General features: G+C 40.4%; 1 protein-coding gene across 11 annotated transcripts in view; it reads right to left on the bottom strand.

Annotated features, from left to right (window-relative positions):
- BICC1 (BicC family RNA binding protein 1) overlaps positions 1-14439 on the bottom strand; it is a 319216-nt gene that overhangs the window by 213015 nt on the left and 91762 nt on the right. Inside the window, exons 5-7 of one of the 11 annotated variants that reach the window (XM_047425778.1) lie at positions 5682-5707; positions 4047-4128; positions 1454-1525 (exon numbers count right to left, since the gene is read on the bottom strand). The exons of 8 other annotated variants lie outside the window; for them this stretch is intronic. In XM_047425778.1, coding sequence (XP_047281734.1) covers positions 1454-1511 — 58 coding nt within the window. In that variant the 5' untranslated portion in view covers positions 1512-1525; positions 4047-4128; positions 5682-5707. Of the gene's footprint in view, positions 1-1453; positions 1526-4046; positions 13787-14439 lie in introns of those variants that run through there. 2 more of the 11 variants (XM_017016677.2, XM_011540185.3) reach the window with 2 other exon arrangements.

Genomic DNA, 14439 nt, shown 5'->3' with positions numbered 1-14439 from the left:
TAGTGGCTCCAAGCCAAGCACGACCTCACATGGGTGATCACCTAATGCACCTCACGTGACGTGGTTATGTAAGGAGTGGAATTGTGTACATGCGCTCCAAACTCCAGACTCACATGCAAGACCGGATGTCTGCCTTGGCCTATTCTTGACCACAGCAGATCCATTTTCCTTACACTCCACCCCCTAGGCCAAGGGAGACATAGGCCTTGGACACACAGCTCCAACACACAGGCCTCATACATAGCCTCTGGGCATGCAAGCCAGGCCCCAGACACACAGGTCCGACACAAGACCTTACACATAGGCTCTAGGTACACAGGCCCCAGACACTCAGGCCCAACACATAGGTCTTACATTCCACCCCCTAGGCAGAGGGAGTTTTTCTAGTGGGGACACATGCCCAAAGGGTGAAACCCTGGACCCAGAGGCCACAGCAGTAATACAGGGAAAAACAACTCCAGGTTATGGTGGGCAACCACCCCATGGTGACATTACACCAATGTTGCTTTGTACATTTAGCCAAGCTTTTATTTCCCTGCCTTTAGGAGCACTGGGGCAGGCAACAACAGGTTACCATTCATCTCTGTACCTGGTCAGAGGAGGTCATCCTTCCTCCCATAGGTTTTGCCACATGGCTTGGCCCTATATGGGCCAGTGACCAACTGGCCACTTCTGTTACTTTTAGATAGTTAACCACAAGGCTAAGCCTCAATAAACTGCCAAGCTGTCGGTGCAGATTACCGTAGGTGTCACCACCTTGGTGATCACCATTCATGCTGTCCTGATTTCAGCCCATTAGCTACTTTGTCCACACTTGGTATCAAACCATATGGCGTCAGTACTAGAGTGAACTGTGACAGCAGTCCAGGCAATAGCAGCACCCCAGCTAGACCCATTCGTATACCATGCTCTATCAGGAATGGAGGGGTGCCTCAGGCCCCATGGCCTTATCTTCCATTAGGACTACAAGTCCCAAGACCTCTTGCAACTCTGCTGCTAAGGGACTTGTATTCAGTGTACTCTGCTGCTAAGGGACTTGTATTCAGTGTACTCTGCTGCTAAGGGACTTGTATTCAGTGTACTCTGCTGCTCCAAGTAGGCACCACACTTTGCTAAAGTGGATGTCTGTGCTAGCCCATTTCAGGGAGTCATTATCCATGAATGCATCCATCCCGCTATCAGCTAAGTCATCCGCACGACGACTGTAGCCCATCCTGCCGTACTCTCACGAGCCTGAAGGGCAGCATATGCAGTTACTAACTGCTTCTCTAACAGTGAATACTGGAGCGCAGCTCCTTTCCACAGTTGGGACCAAAAGCCTACTGGCATTCTCAAGCGCTCCATGCGCTGCTAAAGGCCCCAGCCAAAACTATCTGTGGTCACATGCACATCCAGCTCAAACAGGTACCCCTGGTCAACTACCCGTAGGGCTTGTGCCTGCTGAATAGCCCACCTGGCTGCCAGGAAGGTGGTCTCAGCCGCACCATCTTAAATCTAGGCAAGGGGAGCATTGTCACTTCTAAATCTGCAAGAGAATCAGAAGTTAGCATAATATCATTAACAAGACCATGACATATGGTGGGGCTATGCACATAGCCCTGCAGCAACACTGTGAAAGTCCACTGTTGCCCTCCCATGAAGGCAAACTGCTCCTGGCTCTCTGGAAAAGAATGCATTGGCCAAGTCCACCACAAAGTGGTACTGTCTCAGTTTTGTCAAGCCCACTGATAGACAGCATGGCTGCCAAGCCATGTGAAATATCCATGCCCAAAACGTTATCTGTGCTGGTGTCTACCAGCACCAGCACTTGCTATATGTTGGTGGGGTAACAATGGACTGTCAACTCCACATGTGGCCTCCAGTCATCTGGTGTTCCCCTAAGTCGAACCTCAGCCAGTTCCCTCATCATACAGAAAAGGCTTTACACCCCCACCTGGCTGTAGCACATACGGAGTCTTTGAGCTGAAGCGCCCAGGTGGGACCAGGTTGTGCAGCAATGTCCTTCTCCCATTGGGGCATTTTCTGGAATTGCACAAAGTTAAGAGTACTTCATTTGGCTGTTTATCAATTTTCTCTCAGTCAATCCTGGCCAAAACCAAATCAATCCACATCTCTGAGCATGTCACTTGTTGGGGCCCCCTGTTCTCCAGTGGGGGGACCCCTGCAGGCAGGGCATCTTCCCCTTCTTTATGGAGCAGACCCCTCGGTCTCACTAACAGCCTCCTCGGTATCAGAGTGGGGGTCTCCAGCTGAGACGACAGCCCCAGGCCTGCATTCACAGCAGCCTCTAATTCCTTTTCCGAGCTCTGTAGCCTGGCCTCCAGGCACCCTGCCTGCACCTGAAGGTCCCCACTTACGGCAGCTTCTAAATCTTTTGCTGAGCTGTGTAGCCAGGCCTCCAGGCACCCAGCCTGCACCTGGAGGGCCCTTACTTCTGCTGCATCCCTCAGGGACTGGGTGTGTACTTTTCATAGTGCATTCAAAAATGCCTATCCAACTCTGCCAGCAAAAGCTCACTCCTTCTCAGGGCTTTGCACTTGCAGCTGCTTCAGCACCTCTTCCATGCTCGTGGGGGACCGATTTACTGCCACCACCTAGGTTTCCACCAGAGCCCATTAAGCAGTACAGCTGCCACTGGGCACCATAACTCATGTTGCAGTCACATGCCCAACCTGGAATCAGTGGGGACCGAAGGCTCTCTCTCCTCAGTATCCTGCTGACTATGCCAAGTGTCATGCCAAGTGTTAGGTTCCAGCCCAAGCTGAGGACTGAGGAGTGGGTGGATGAGTGGTGGACAGCTGAAAGAACACTCAAGGAATCGTAGGGGGTTTCAACGTGGCTTTATTCTGTCTCTTGGCACGAACAAGCCGACTGGGGCACAAGCTGCATGTAGTGTCAGCAGGGTAATTATACCTTTTACAGACAATAGTGGCTCTGAGCAAAGCACGAGCTCATGTGGGTGGACACCTAATGCGCCTCATGTGGCGTGGTTACATAATGAGTGGAGTTGGGAGCCTGCACTCCAAACTCGCTGGGTCATGCTGAACTGGATGTCTGCCTCGACGTATTCTTGACTGCGGCACATCCATTTTCCTTACACACTGATGGAGGCCATTTGAATCACACATTTCTACAAATAAATTATCTGTAGTTTGCTCTGCAAACAATGATTTTCATTCTGTAACTTTAAAATATGCCAATATTAAAGCTCAATGAAAACATAAAAAGTAAAGTTGAACAAACTTCTAAGCAAACTGGCAAGTGTGGGTGGCCCTAGCTAAAGCGAACACCCAGGCAAGATAAAAGGTCAGTGCTCAAACCTAATGAAAAGTGTCTCGGGGGGGCACTTAGCCAATTCTTGGCTGTCTTTGTCTAAGGCTAAAAATAGTTTTAAAAGAGCCACCCTCAATGATACCCACTTTCACATGGCAATGAAAGTAGCAGATAAGGACATGGAGATTCAAAAAAATATCTAGTCACATTGAGGAAACTCTTCTGTGAGAAGAAATTTTTAGAATCAAATATATTTTCAAAGGTCTATCAAGCAAAGTAGATAATTGCCCTTTTTACCACAGGAAATTCCTTCACAACTTAGAATTCATCTGTTGAAATTTCATTATACAACTATATTTATTACACAAACTTCCTTGAGGAGACTTATTTTGCTCAAGACAAACTCATTACATCACACTTTGTCATGCCCCTTCATTCCAAGTCCATCAAAACACTAAACACCCTTCACAGAATGGCCCTTCAACCTCCAGATGAATAAAAAGGGAAAGATTTCCTAAGTTAGACCTAAACTGTTATTACCTCTGTTCCAAGGTGAAAAAAAATCACTAAAATTTAACCAGAAACCTGCACCTTTAGCAAGTTTATTATTTGAGGGAAAACAGCAGGCAAGAAGCCAGAAATGGCAAATTACATTCACTGGCAGCAAAAATCTTTGGACTTTTTTATTCCAAGTGTTTGTGTGCAAGAAATTCTAAATCTGAGCCTGATTTTACCTCAATTCTGATGTATCCATTTCCCAAGCCCATAAATACCTTGGTAAAAGATGCTGATGAGTTGTTGGTTAGATCATGGTCTCAGGTGCAAACGGTGTTGAGTCCCAATCATTAGCCCTTCCTAGGGAGAAGCATACTCAATTCACTCCCAGGATGCCAGGTCACCTGAAGGACTTTCACTGACCCCAAGCAGACAAAGCTAACAAAGGCCATGAGAGCCTATTAAGAGAGTGACATTTCACTAAAAGTCTTCTTCTCTTCCCCCAAACACGGATTCTTCTGAGCCCAAATTTGAGAGTCTACTTCTCCCACTTAGTCTGCATTCATTAGTATCAAAATATAAAGTCTTTCCAAGAAGTGAGAGATTGGGGAAAAGGGTATCACTGAAGAACATTTTTCTCAATATAAAATTAGGCATTTAAAATGCTCATTTAAAAAAAATAAGATAAATAAAATAAAATGCTCATTTTACAGACCCAGAAAAGCTGACACTTTCATTCTGCAAATACTTAGGACTTAGGTTCGATGCTAATGAATCAAAATAGGCAAGGCCCTACCTTCATTCAAATTACAACCCCAACCTGTAAAATATTCAAAGCAACCTAACTGGTGAGATTAAGCCAAAGTTAAAATTCAGTTCTCCTAGCAACTTTCCCAGAGAGTTTTTCACAGTCACAATTCTAACCAAATTAAACTTATAAATTTAATTTAGCAATTCTCATTCTAGACAATGCACTAAAAACTTAATTATTTCACTCCGAACCCAACACTGGAGCTGGACAGCTACCGTTAGATCTGAAGAACAAAGGGCACTTATATGGAGACCATTAGAGAGCTGGATCGGAAGAAAAAAATATATATGAGATATGATAATATATTGACTCAAATCATTTCCTTTTCATTATATTTGGAGGGCAAAATGGAGCCTGTGAAATGAGCCAAACCATACTTTATGTCATGATATTGCTTGACCTTTAAAGTTTGATTACACTCTGTGGTAAAATACTTCTATTGAGTCTTTGCAATCTTAGACACTGATACTCCTTCATCTTTTTTATTCCACAGTGACATGAGCACAGATATAATGATTTAGCAGGTTTTCCTTAAACTGTCTTTACAATATAACGTCTGCCTGATGTTCCAAAGTTTATTCGCTTGGATGTAAAAACCCTGGATTATTCCTGCCAATGAAAGCAATTGTCTTTATTTTCATGACACACAACTCCGGGAATAAATTACTTCAATACTACTGAAACGTGGCTGGCTGAATGTGCAGGTAAAGCATTTCATATTTTAAGCTGAACGATTCATTTTTTATGTTTATTATAATTTCTCCAATGCTTTGCCATATTTTATTTCATATTTTTGCTTCACAAGAAATATGGGATGGCAAAAGCCACTGCCAATAAAAACAGCAAAAGTTGAAACAGGTGTAAACTATTACAATCCCCCCAAACTACAGAGCAAGTCCAGTTAATGACTGAATTAAATGGGAGGGGGGTAGCTTGACTTTAAATTCTTCCTGGGGCACATGGAAACTTCTGTTTAAATATCCTTTTCATTTTGAAATGCTTTTCTATTATAACATCTGATGCTTTATGGAGCCAACTCTAAAAACACAAGGACTATGTTCTTCATATTTATAACATAGTATGAAACATCTTTAAACATTACCTTGATAAACAATGGGGTTTCTTCCCCTTTGGAATTTGAGCAAGAAAATACCAAGTTCAAATTATAAAATTAATTGAGATATAATTCTTCAAATCTGTAAAGAATCAGGGCATTCCTCTCCATCTTTTTTTTTTTTTTTTAACACAACTCAACACATTTGCAACTAAGAGGGCTGCTGTGCTTTTCGGTCACCTGAAAGATAAACAATTATTCAGGTAGCCTGATTCTTGTGCAAAAATATTTTACACAAAATTTAAAACATTCCCTTATTGTATCAATTTAATCCATATGCTAAAAGAGCTATGCCATATATTTTATTCTGTATATTAACTGTTTCCAGAAAACTGTATGTTAACTGTTTCCCTGACAACCCAGCCAATTCAAGTGAAAGAGGAATCAGCACAAAAGATGTAGAAGATGCAGTTTCTATACATTCCCAGAGAAACTTTTTATGTTCATGAATTATACCTTGCACTTTGGAATGGCATGCAAAGCTCTGAGAGCCAACTGAGAAAAGAGTAGTCATTAGGTTCATTCTTAAAGTTTCTTCCACTTCTGAATTAAAATCATAGTCATCATTAAAATACTCTAACCAACTGAAGAACACTTCTAACTTTAAATTTCAACGGTGAAAAGTATCATCTGAATGCTGTATCTCATAAGTGTGAGAATTTTCAGACCCTATCTTTTCCCTCTCTAATTACCAGTCTTCACTGTGAACAATTCAAATTCACCTGCCTGTAAAAAATTAAATAAATAGGCCTGTTGAGAAAAATTAAGAATAGACAAAAATAAATATAATTTTTCTCTTAACAGTGGCTGGATTAAGGATGGCTTTCTTCTTCACTTTAATATTTTTTCTTAAATATTGTTTTATTTTTGCAGTTAAATTCCCATGGTCAAAAATGCAATCTTAACTTGGTTTTTTAAAGTATAAAACAGAATGTACAGGCTGGGCACAGTGGCTCACACCTGCAATCCCAGCACTTTGGGAGGCCGAGGTGGGAGGATCACCTGAGGTCAGGAGTTTGAGACCAGCCTACGCAGCATGGTGAAACCCTGTCTCCACTAAAAATACAAAATAATAATAATAATAATAATCTGGGAGTGGTAGAGCATGCCTGTAATCCCAGCTACTTGGGAGGCTGAGACAGGAGAATCTCTTGAACCTGGGAGGCGGAGGTTGCAGTGAGCCAAAATCATGACACTGTACTCCAGCCCGGGCAACAGTGCGAGATTCTGTCTCAAAAAAAAAAAAAGAAGAAACAAAAAAACAGAATGTACAGAATGACTTAAATTCTGTATAAAAGTCTGTACGTGTACATATACAGACACAAATATAAACAAACATGTATTTAGATATATGGATACATAGTGAATGTGTTAGAAAAAAGACTGAAAGGATAAATACCAAAATATTAATAACACTTGTTATTTGAGTGGTAGAATTCTTGGGTCTGTTTATCATTTTTTCTTTGTATTTTTCAGCATACCTTTAAATAGCTTGAATTGCTTTTTAATTAGAAAACATTCAGGTAAAAATTATTTTTAAATCTTCCTTCCTATTTGAGAATGAACCAAGGTTTCACCATTACTGGTCTGTCACAGCATTATTTTCAGCCCACAGTGTATAAGGCAATCATTGGCAAAAGTACGAAAATCAAATGTAGATATAAGCTGCCTAAGGAGACACAATGACTAACGCAATATCAGAGATAGATAATGGACAATCAATAACATCATGCCAGGTATAGATCTTAGGCTTTAACCAACCTAGTACTTTCTAGAATGAAACACTGATTTTGTGCAGCTCTCAGTGGAGAAGCTTTAATCATTTAGGCCTATAGTAGAATCTTCACAGCTGAAAACAGTAAACAATCTAGTATTTGGAAAACCTCTGTGAGTTATATCCAAACTCAATAGCTAGCCAAAGAAGACAGAAATAGACACCCTCCAAAATGTGTGAACCGCAAAAAGAAAAATGTATATGCATACATTTCCAATTCTAGGCTGTTTAAAAACAAAACCCACTTTCAATGAAAGGTCACATCAAATGAAACACGAAATAAAACAGAAATTTACCCCATTATAAAAGGGCTCTATGGCTCAGAATAAAAAAAAAAAAGAGCTAGATAGATTATCCATGGCAATTTGGGACAAGAGGATGGGCCAATAATTGAACCATCCAAGACATCCTTTGAGACTGTGTTTTAAAATTTCATTTCCCACAAAATATTTTAACAGAATAAGAATTAGAAAGATTATGATGGAGGTTAGGGGGAGGATTCCTAATCTGTCTAACAGTGGGGACCACTGCTGCTCCATAAGACTCTGCAGATTACACACACTTCTCAAAATGTGGATTGCAAGGCATTTTTTCACATGTAAAATCTTTTTCCTGCCAATATTCCAATGCCAGGAACAATCTAAGACAGTGCTGACCCTGTCACACTCAGGGCACAACAGAAAGCAAGCAAAGGCCAGCATTCTCTCATCTAGGGGATTTTAGTTTCAGAAAGCATCTGTTGCTATCAAATGTAGGGAAATATATATTCCCAAAAATTTGAGAACATCTACATTACTCACTGCTTTAAGCAACTTTTAACTTGAACTCTTTCAGTAACTCTTGCTAAGGGTTTATTCGAACTTCAAATTTATTGGCCTAACAATGAAGACTTCCTGGTGGACTGATGACCCTAACATATGTCAATGGAATTTCAGTCCAACTGATTAACAGAAACGTTGGTCATGTCCAATGCCTTGCTTTCAGACACTATTTCTTCTTATATAAGCAATCCCTGAAGCATCGTTTAGTCTGGCCTGAGGTCATAACACTATTTGAAGACTTTGGGTATTTACATAATTTCAATGTTTTTTTAGAAAAACAACCCTAACCCTTTACCAAAATTTAAACAATGTTCATAGTTTAATGGAATTAGGAATACCTAATACACCACAGTGAGCTTATGCTGATCTTCCTATAGAGCTACGCCATCCAATATGACAGCCACTGGCCACATGTGCCTCGTGAACACTGAAAGTGTGACTAGTCTGAATTCACATATGCTGTGGTATAAAATGCAAACAGGATTTTGAAAACGTAGTAAAAAAAGAATGTAAAAAATCTTAATAATGTTTTGATTACATGTTGAAATGATGTTACTTTTATATATTGGGTTAAACAAAGAAATATAAGACTAATCTTACCTGTTTTGTTTCACTCTTCTTAATGTGGCAATAAAACATAAAATTACATTTGTGGTTCACATATTTCCATTGTACAGCACCGCTATAGGGAATAATAACTAACTTTGCTGTCATCCAAGGAGGATTGAAAAGTTTCAAGTAGAGCACACAGCTACAGGCTATGAGGAACTGAAAACAAAGAGTATTTCCAAATAGTAAGAGTCAGTAGCTTGAAATCAAAGTTCTATCTGTTTTAACCTCCTGGGAACATTTTGCAGGAGGAAGGAAAAGGTTGACTGGTACTTTTAGGGATGGAGGGAAGGTTAAAAGAATTAGAGCAGTTTGAATAAAATATGTAACATTAATAATCATTTCCTTAATATCCAGCTTTGGCCCAGCCCAAAGCCATGAAAGTATTTAAGAGTTTATGTGGATGGTTATTTAATGGAATGAAGTTTATATTTCTTTTGTATTTGTAATAACATGGCAATGGTGCAAGCCAACTTGTTTTAAATCAGAACCAAATGTGTTCCAGGCATGTTTAAAGTTCAGGTTATATGCAGAAATCCATGACCAGGCAGTCTGTTTTGCTATTTTCTCCACCAAAACTGGAAGTTGACAGAGGGCAAAGAAGAGACATGCCTGCTTTCATCAGGGCTGCTTATTCATCTTTATGCTAAAATACTTATGTATTTCTTTATTTATTTATACAAATTTATTTAGCAACAAGGCACAGAGAGAGGAGATAAAAGTTATGGAACCAGAAAAGTCTAGGTTCAAATCTAGGTTTGCCATTTACCAGTGGCATAACTCTGGGCAAATTCTTCAATCTCCTTCAAGCTCTGTTTTACCCCTGAAATATGCAAAGCAGCACCCTGTAAGCATTTAATAAATGGAAGCCTTCTACTTTGACCTCTAAGGACGTATAGTTGTGTAATAAAAACGACAAGACTAAAACATTACAGAAGAGTCACAGATGATTAAGCACAGGAATTCAAAGAATAACTACTGTAGAGACTTTTGAACTGATTATTTAATGTAGAATGTAGACATGAGGACATGGGGAAAGGGAATTCTGGGCAGAGACAATGCTGTGAATACTCATGAATGTCTGATTCCAAAACGCGTTTTCTTTTTTCAATGCCTCAGAGCACTTGAAATAGCACCTGTGCCTAGAAGGAGCCAGATGGTACAGGCCAGGGGAGGAAGGGGAGCTCTCCAGTGATGGTGAAAGGGAAAGGGAATCCCGTAAGCTGGCGAACACTTTCTTCACCAGGGGAGGTCCCACTCTTCACACAGGTGTTCCGAAATAGGTGGTTTTGGGGCAGTGGAAGCAGGAGAGGTGGGGAGTAGTTTTATGGTTGTTATAGAATGCGGGAGGAAAAGGGGGTAGTGATACAGACATTTAGTGTTCAGGGCCCAGAACACCCACAAAGGGGTTGTATAATACTAGGAGTATAATACCAGTGATACCCATATATTGTTTCTTTTAGGAAATGTCCTTTCTTCAGTAAATGATCTTCTAAAATAGTACATATCTACACTACTGCTTCAGTGTCAGTGACTTAGACTTGCTCAAGTCCCATACATTACCATGAAAACCAGGAAGGACAGCTATTTCCTCCGAGTTCAAGATTGCTCCTGGGTTCTCCACATGTCCAGTTCTAGGGCATCATATTCCAATTCAGGTGCACAGCTGATGCAATGCTCTACCTGTTACGGACTGTACTATCATAAGACAGCCATGTAGCAGTTATTCACTATGAAATGTATCAGCATACGAGGTCATTCCCTTGCTGGTGAGGACCAGTCAACAAATCACACCAAAGCAGAAACAGTTTTACTGCCTCAATCCAAAATATAAGCAAAAGCAAAACAAAATAACAGAAGGAAGAGATTGAGAAGGAGATGAGGAAATGACAAAGAGAAGAAAGTGAGGGAGGCCGATGGGGAAGAGTGAGGGAGGAGTGGGAAAGAGAATGGGGAGGAGGAGAAGGCGAAGGGGGACGAAAAGGACAGGAGGGAGAAAGCAAGGGAAAGAGAAGAGAGGAGAAGGAGGATAAAGGAGGTGGAGAAGATGAGGAAGGATAGGCTGGGAAATGGGGAAAGAGAATGGAGGATGGGATAATTTTTTAACTTACAATTGATATTAGAAAGATAAGAAAAAGTAATGCACCCATCCCAAAAGAAAAAACAGTAGCATGACAGTTTTATTTATTTATTTATTTATTTATTTTGAGACAGAGTTTCGCTCTTGTTGCCCAGGCTGGAGTGCCATGGCACAATCTCGGCTCACTGCAACCTCCGCCTCCCGGGTTCAAGGGATTGTCCTGCCTCAGCCTCCCGAGTAGCTGGGATTACAGGCATGCACCACCACACTCGGCTAATTTTGTATTTTTAGTAGAGACAGGGTTTCTCCATGTTGGGCAGGCTGGTCGCAAACTCCCAACCGCAGCTGATCCACCCACCTCGGCCTCCCAAAGTGCTGGAATTACAGGCGTGAGACACCGCGCCAGGCCGACAGTTTTAAAAGAGAAACATTTAGAGAACAAAAATATCACAATCTTATCCAAGATTTGAAACATTTTTAAAAATTCTCCCAGAAAGAACAAGACATACATAAAATATAGGAGGAAATAGCTTTTTAAAAAATCCAAGACCAACTAACCGAATTTCCAGAAAAAGAAAACAGACTATAAAATGTATTTTTAATCAAAGAAATATACTAGAAAATGTCCAGAACCAAAAAACATAAGGTTCCATATTAGTAGAGCTAATTCAATTTGTAACTGAAAGAAAAAATACTCAAAGCATATGCTTCTGAAATTTCACATTTGAAATAAAAATATCTTAAAACCTTCCAGAGAGAAAAAAACAAGTCACAGGCGATTAGAATAGTGTCAGAATTCTCATTCAAGCCATGAGATGGTATATGACAAGAGAGTAAAGCTTTAAATTCTAGGGAAAATTTATTTTATTTATTTATTTATTATTATACTTTAAGTTTTAGGGTAGATGTGCACAATGTGCAGGTTAGTTACACATGTATACATGTGCCATGCTGGTGCGCTGCACCCACTAACTCGTCATCTAGCCCTAGGTATATCTCCCAATGCTATCCCTCCCCCCTCCCCCACCCCAGGGAAAAATTATTTTCAACCCAAAATTCTTTACCTGGCTAAACCCACAATTAAGTAGAAGGATATGGTGAAATTTTCAGGCACGCTAAGTTGCAAGGGGAAAAAAATTACCTCCCTACTACTTGGATTCCATATATTAGTAGGGGTTGTATGTATCAAATTGAATAAATTAGCCAAGAAACTGAGACTTTCCCTTATATAATTAACTGGGGATTGAATATAGAAAAGAGTGAGGAGAAATTCCCAGGATGGGAGCAAATTCCATGATGACAGCTGTGAAGCCAGGCCAGAAGGCAAATAGTAAAGGATGAAGCAGGCCAACAGGCCTCAAAGAGGAAAGTTGTCAGGGAAAAAAAAAAGCTGATTAATTATCTGAAATCTTAACCATGTGGAAAATTGTTCTGAGAGCATTAGACAGTGTAGAAAGAATTTGTGATAGGTATAAAAAATATTAAACCCAAGGGGGAAGAAAAGAACAAGGCAATTACCAACTCCAGGAAAAACAAAATTCTGACAAAAAAAGGAAAAGAAATGTTTGTATATTAGTTGCTTGTCAGGAAACAACAACATAGATGATAGAGAGTCAGCGCTCCACATTCCCTGGGTTCCATGTCTGTGAATTCAACCAAATGTGGATCAAAAATATTCAACAGAAAATTGTGTCTATACTAAACAAATACAGCCTTTTTTGACATTATTCTCTAAACAATACAGTATAACAACTATTTGCATATCATTTACATTGTATCAGGTATTGTAAGTAATCTAGAGATTAAAGTGTACAGAGGATATGCACAGGTTATATCCAAATATTATCCCATTTTATGTCAGGGCCTTGAGCATCAGGTTTTGGTATCCATAGGAGGTCCTGGAACAAATCCCCCATAGACACCAAAGGACAAATAAAATATACACACTGAATATTGATTAAGCTAAAACTTGTCATTAAACTTTATTGGGAAAACAGAGGAGGATAAAAGGTAAATCCTTTCTACCACAAAAGAATACAACAGACAATGGCTAAAGGTAATGAATGGGGAGAATGCAATAAACAGATTTCGAAAATGAAGAATCAGCAAGAAACAGCTCAAGGAATAAAAAGCAGCTACATCTAGGGAACAGAGTATGTTTTGTGGGGAAGGATATTGTGTTTTCATCATAAGTCTTTTTATACTATTTCATTTTTAAACTATGCGTATATATTACGTGACGATTTTTAATATTCTAGGCTATTTTAGCTTAGTACTCACACCACAAAGAGAATACAAAGGACAAGTGTGATAATCTGGCCTAGACCATTTGCTCTGGTCTAAATGTTTTGCCTTCATAGTCATATGCTGAAATGCTAACCCCCAAGGTAATGCTATTAGGAGGTGGGGCCCTTGGGAAGTCATTAGGTCATGAGGGTGGTACCCTCAAAATGGGATTAGCACCCTCATAAGAGAGAACATAGATAGGTGCCTCTTGCCTTCCACCACATGAGGAAACAAATAGAAGGCACTGTCTCTGATCCAGAAAGTCGGGCCTCAAAGGACACCAAATCTGCCAGCACCTTGATCATGAACTTCCCAGTCTCCAGAACTGTGAGAAATAAATTTCTGTTTATAAGCTATCCAGTATATGGTATTCTGCTATAGCAGCCCAAACAGACTAAGACACCATTCCAACTATGTTTTCTAAAGACATAAAAGCATGAACTAATATTCATTCAGGATTTGTAAAGATGGAAATTATGCTTTGCTTAATTTTATTTTATTTTTTCCCCCGCTCTGTTACCCAGGCTGGAGTGCAGCGGCGTGATCTCAGCTCACTGCAAGCTCTGCCTCCCGGGTTCACGCCATTCTCCTGCCTCAGCCTCCCGAGTAGCTGGGACTACAGGCGCCCGCCACCACTCCTGGCTAATTTTTTTGTATTTTTAGTAGAGATGGGGTTGGATCAGGATGGTCTTGATCTCCTGACCTCGTGATCCACTCGCCTCGGCCTCCCAAAGTGCTGGGATTACAGGCATGAGCCACCACGCCCAGCCGCTTAATTTTTTTTGTTCATGACCTAATAGTATTTATATTTACATTTTATTTTTAAAGATTATGGTTAAATTTGAGTAGTCTAAATATCAAACAGACTATAAGACAACAATGTGTTTATCACTGTGGCCCTCAATACAGCAGTAGCAAGTCTCAGGAGTTCTACTGCCCCACCTCTCCCCAGTGGGACTGGGCACACAATACTAGGACTATCAGAGGATAATTAAGTGAACCATCCATGTGGCAAAAATCTGGAGGGCTCTATTGCTTTGAAGTCTTCTTGGAAGTGCAGAATTAGTCAGAAAGCAGAAGCAAAGAAAGGCCAAACAAATGGAAAGGCAGTGAGTAGATGAAGCATTCAAAAAAGAAGAGGGACCCCCTTGCACATAACAGAAATATAGATCTGAA

The sequence above is a fragment of the Homo sapiens genome, chromosome 10 (assembly GCF_000001405.40).
Source record: "Homo sapiens chromosome 10, GRCh38.p14 Primary Assembly".
NCBI lineage: Eukaryota > Metazoa > Chordata > Mammalia > Primates > Hominidae > Homo > Homo sapiens.
This window is presented reverse-complemented; position numbering and strand designations above follow the sequence as displayed.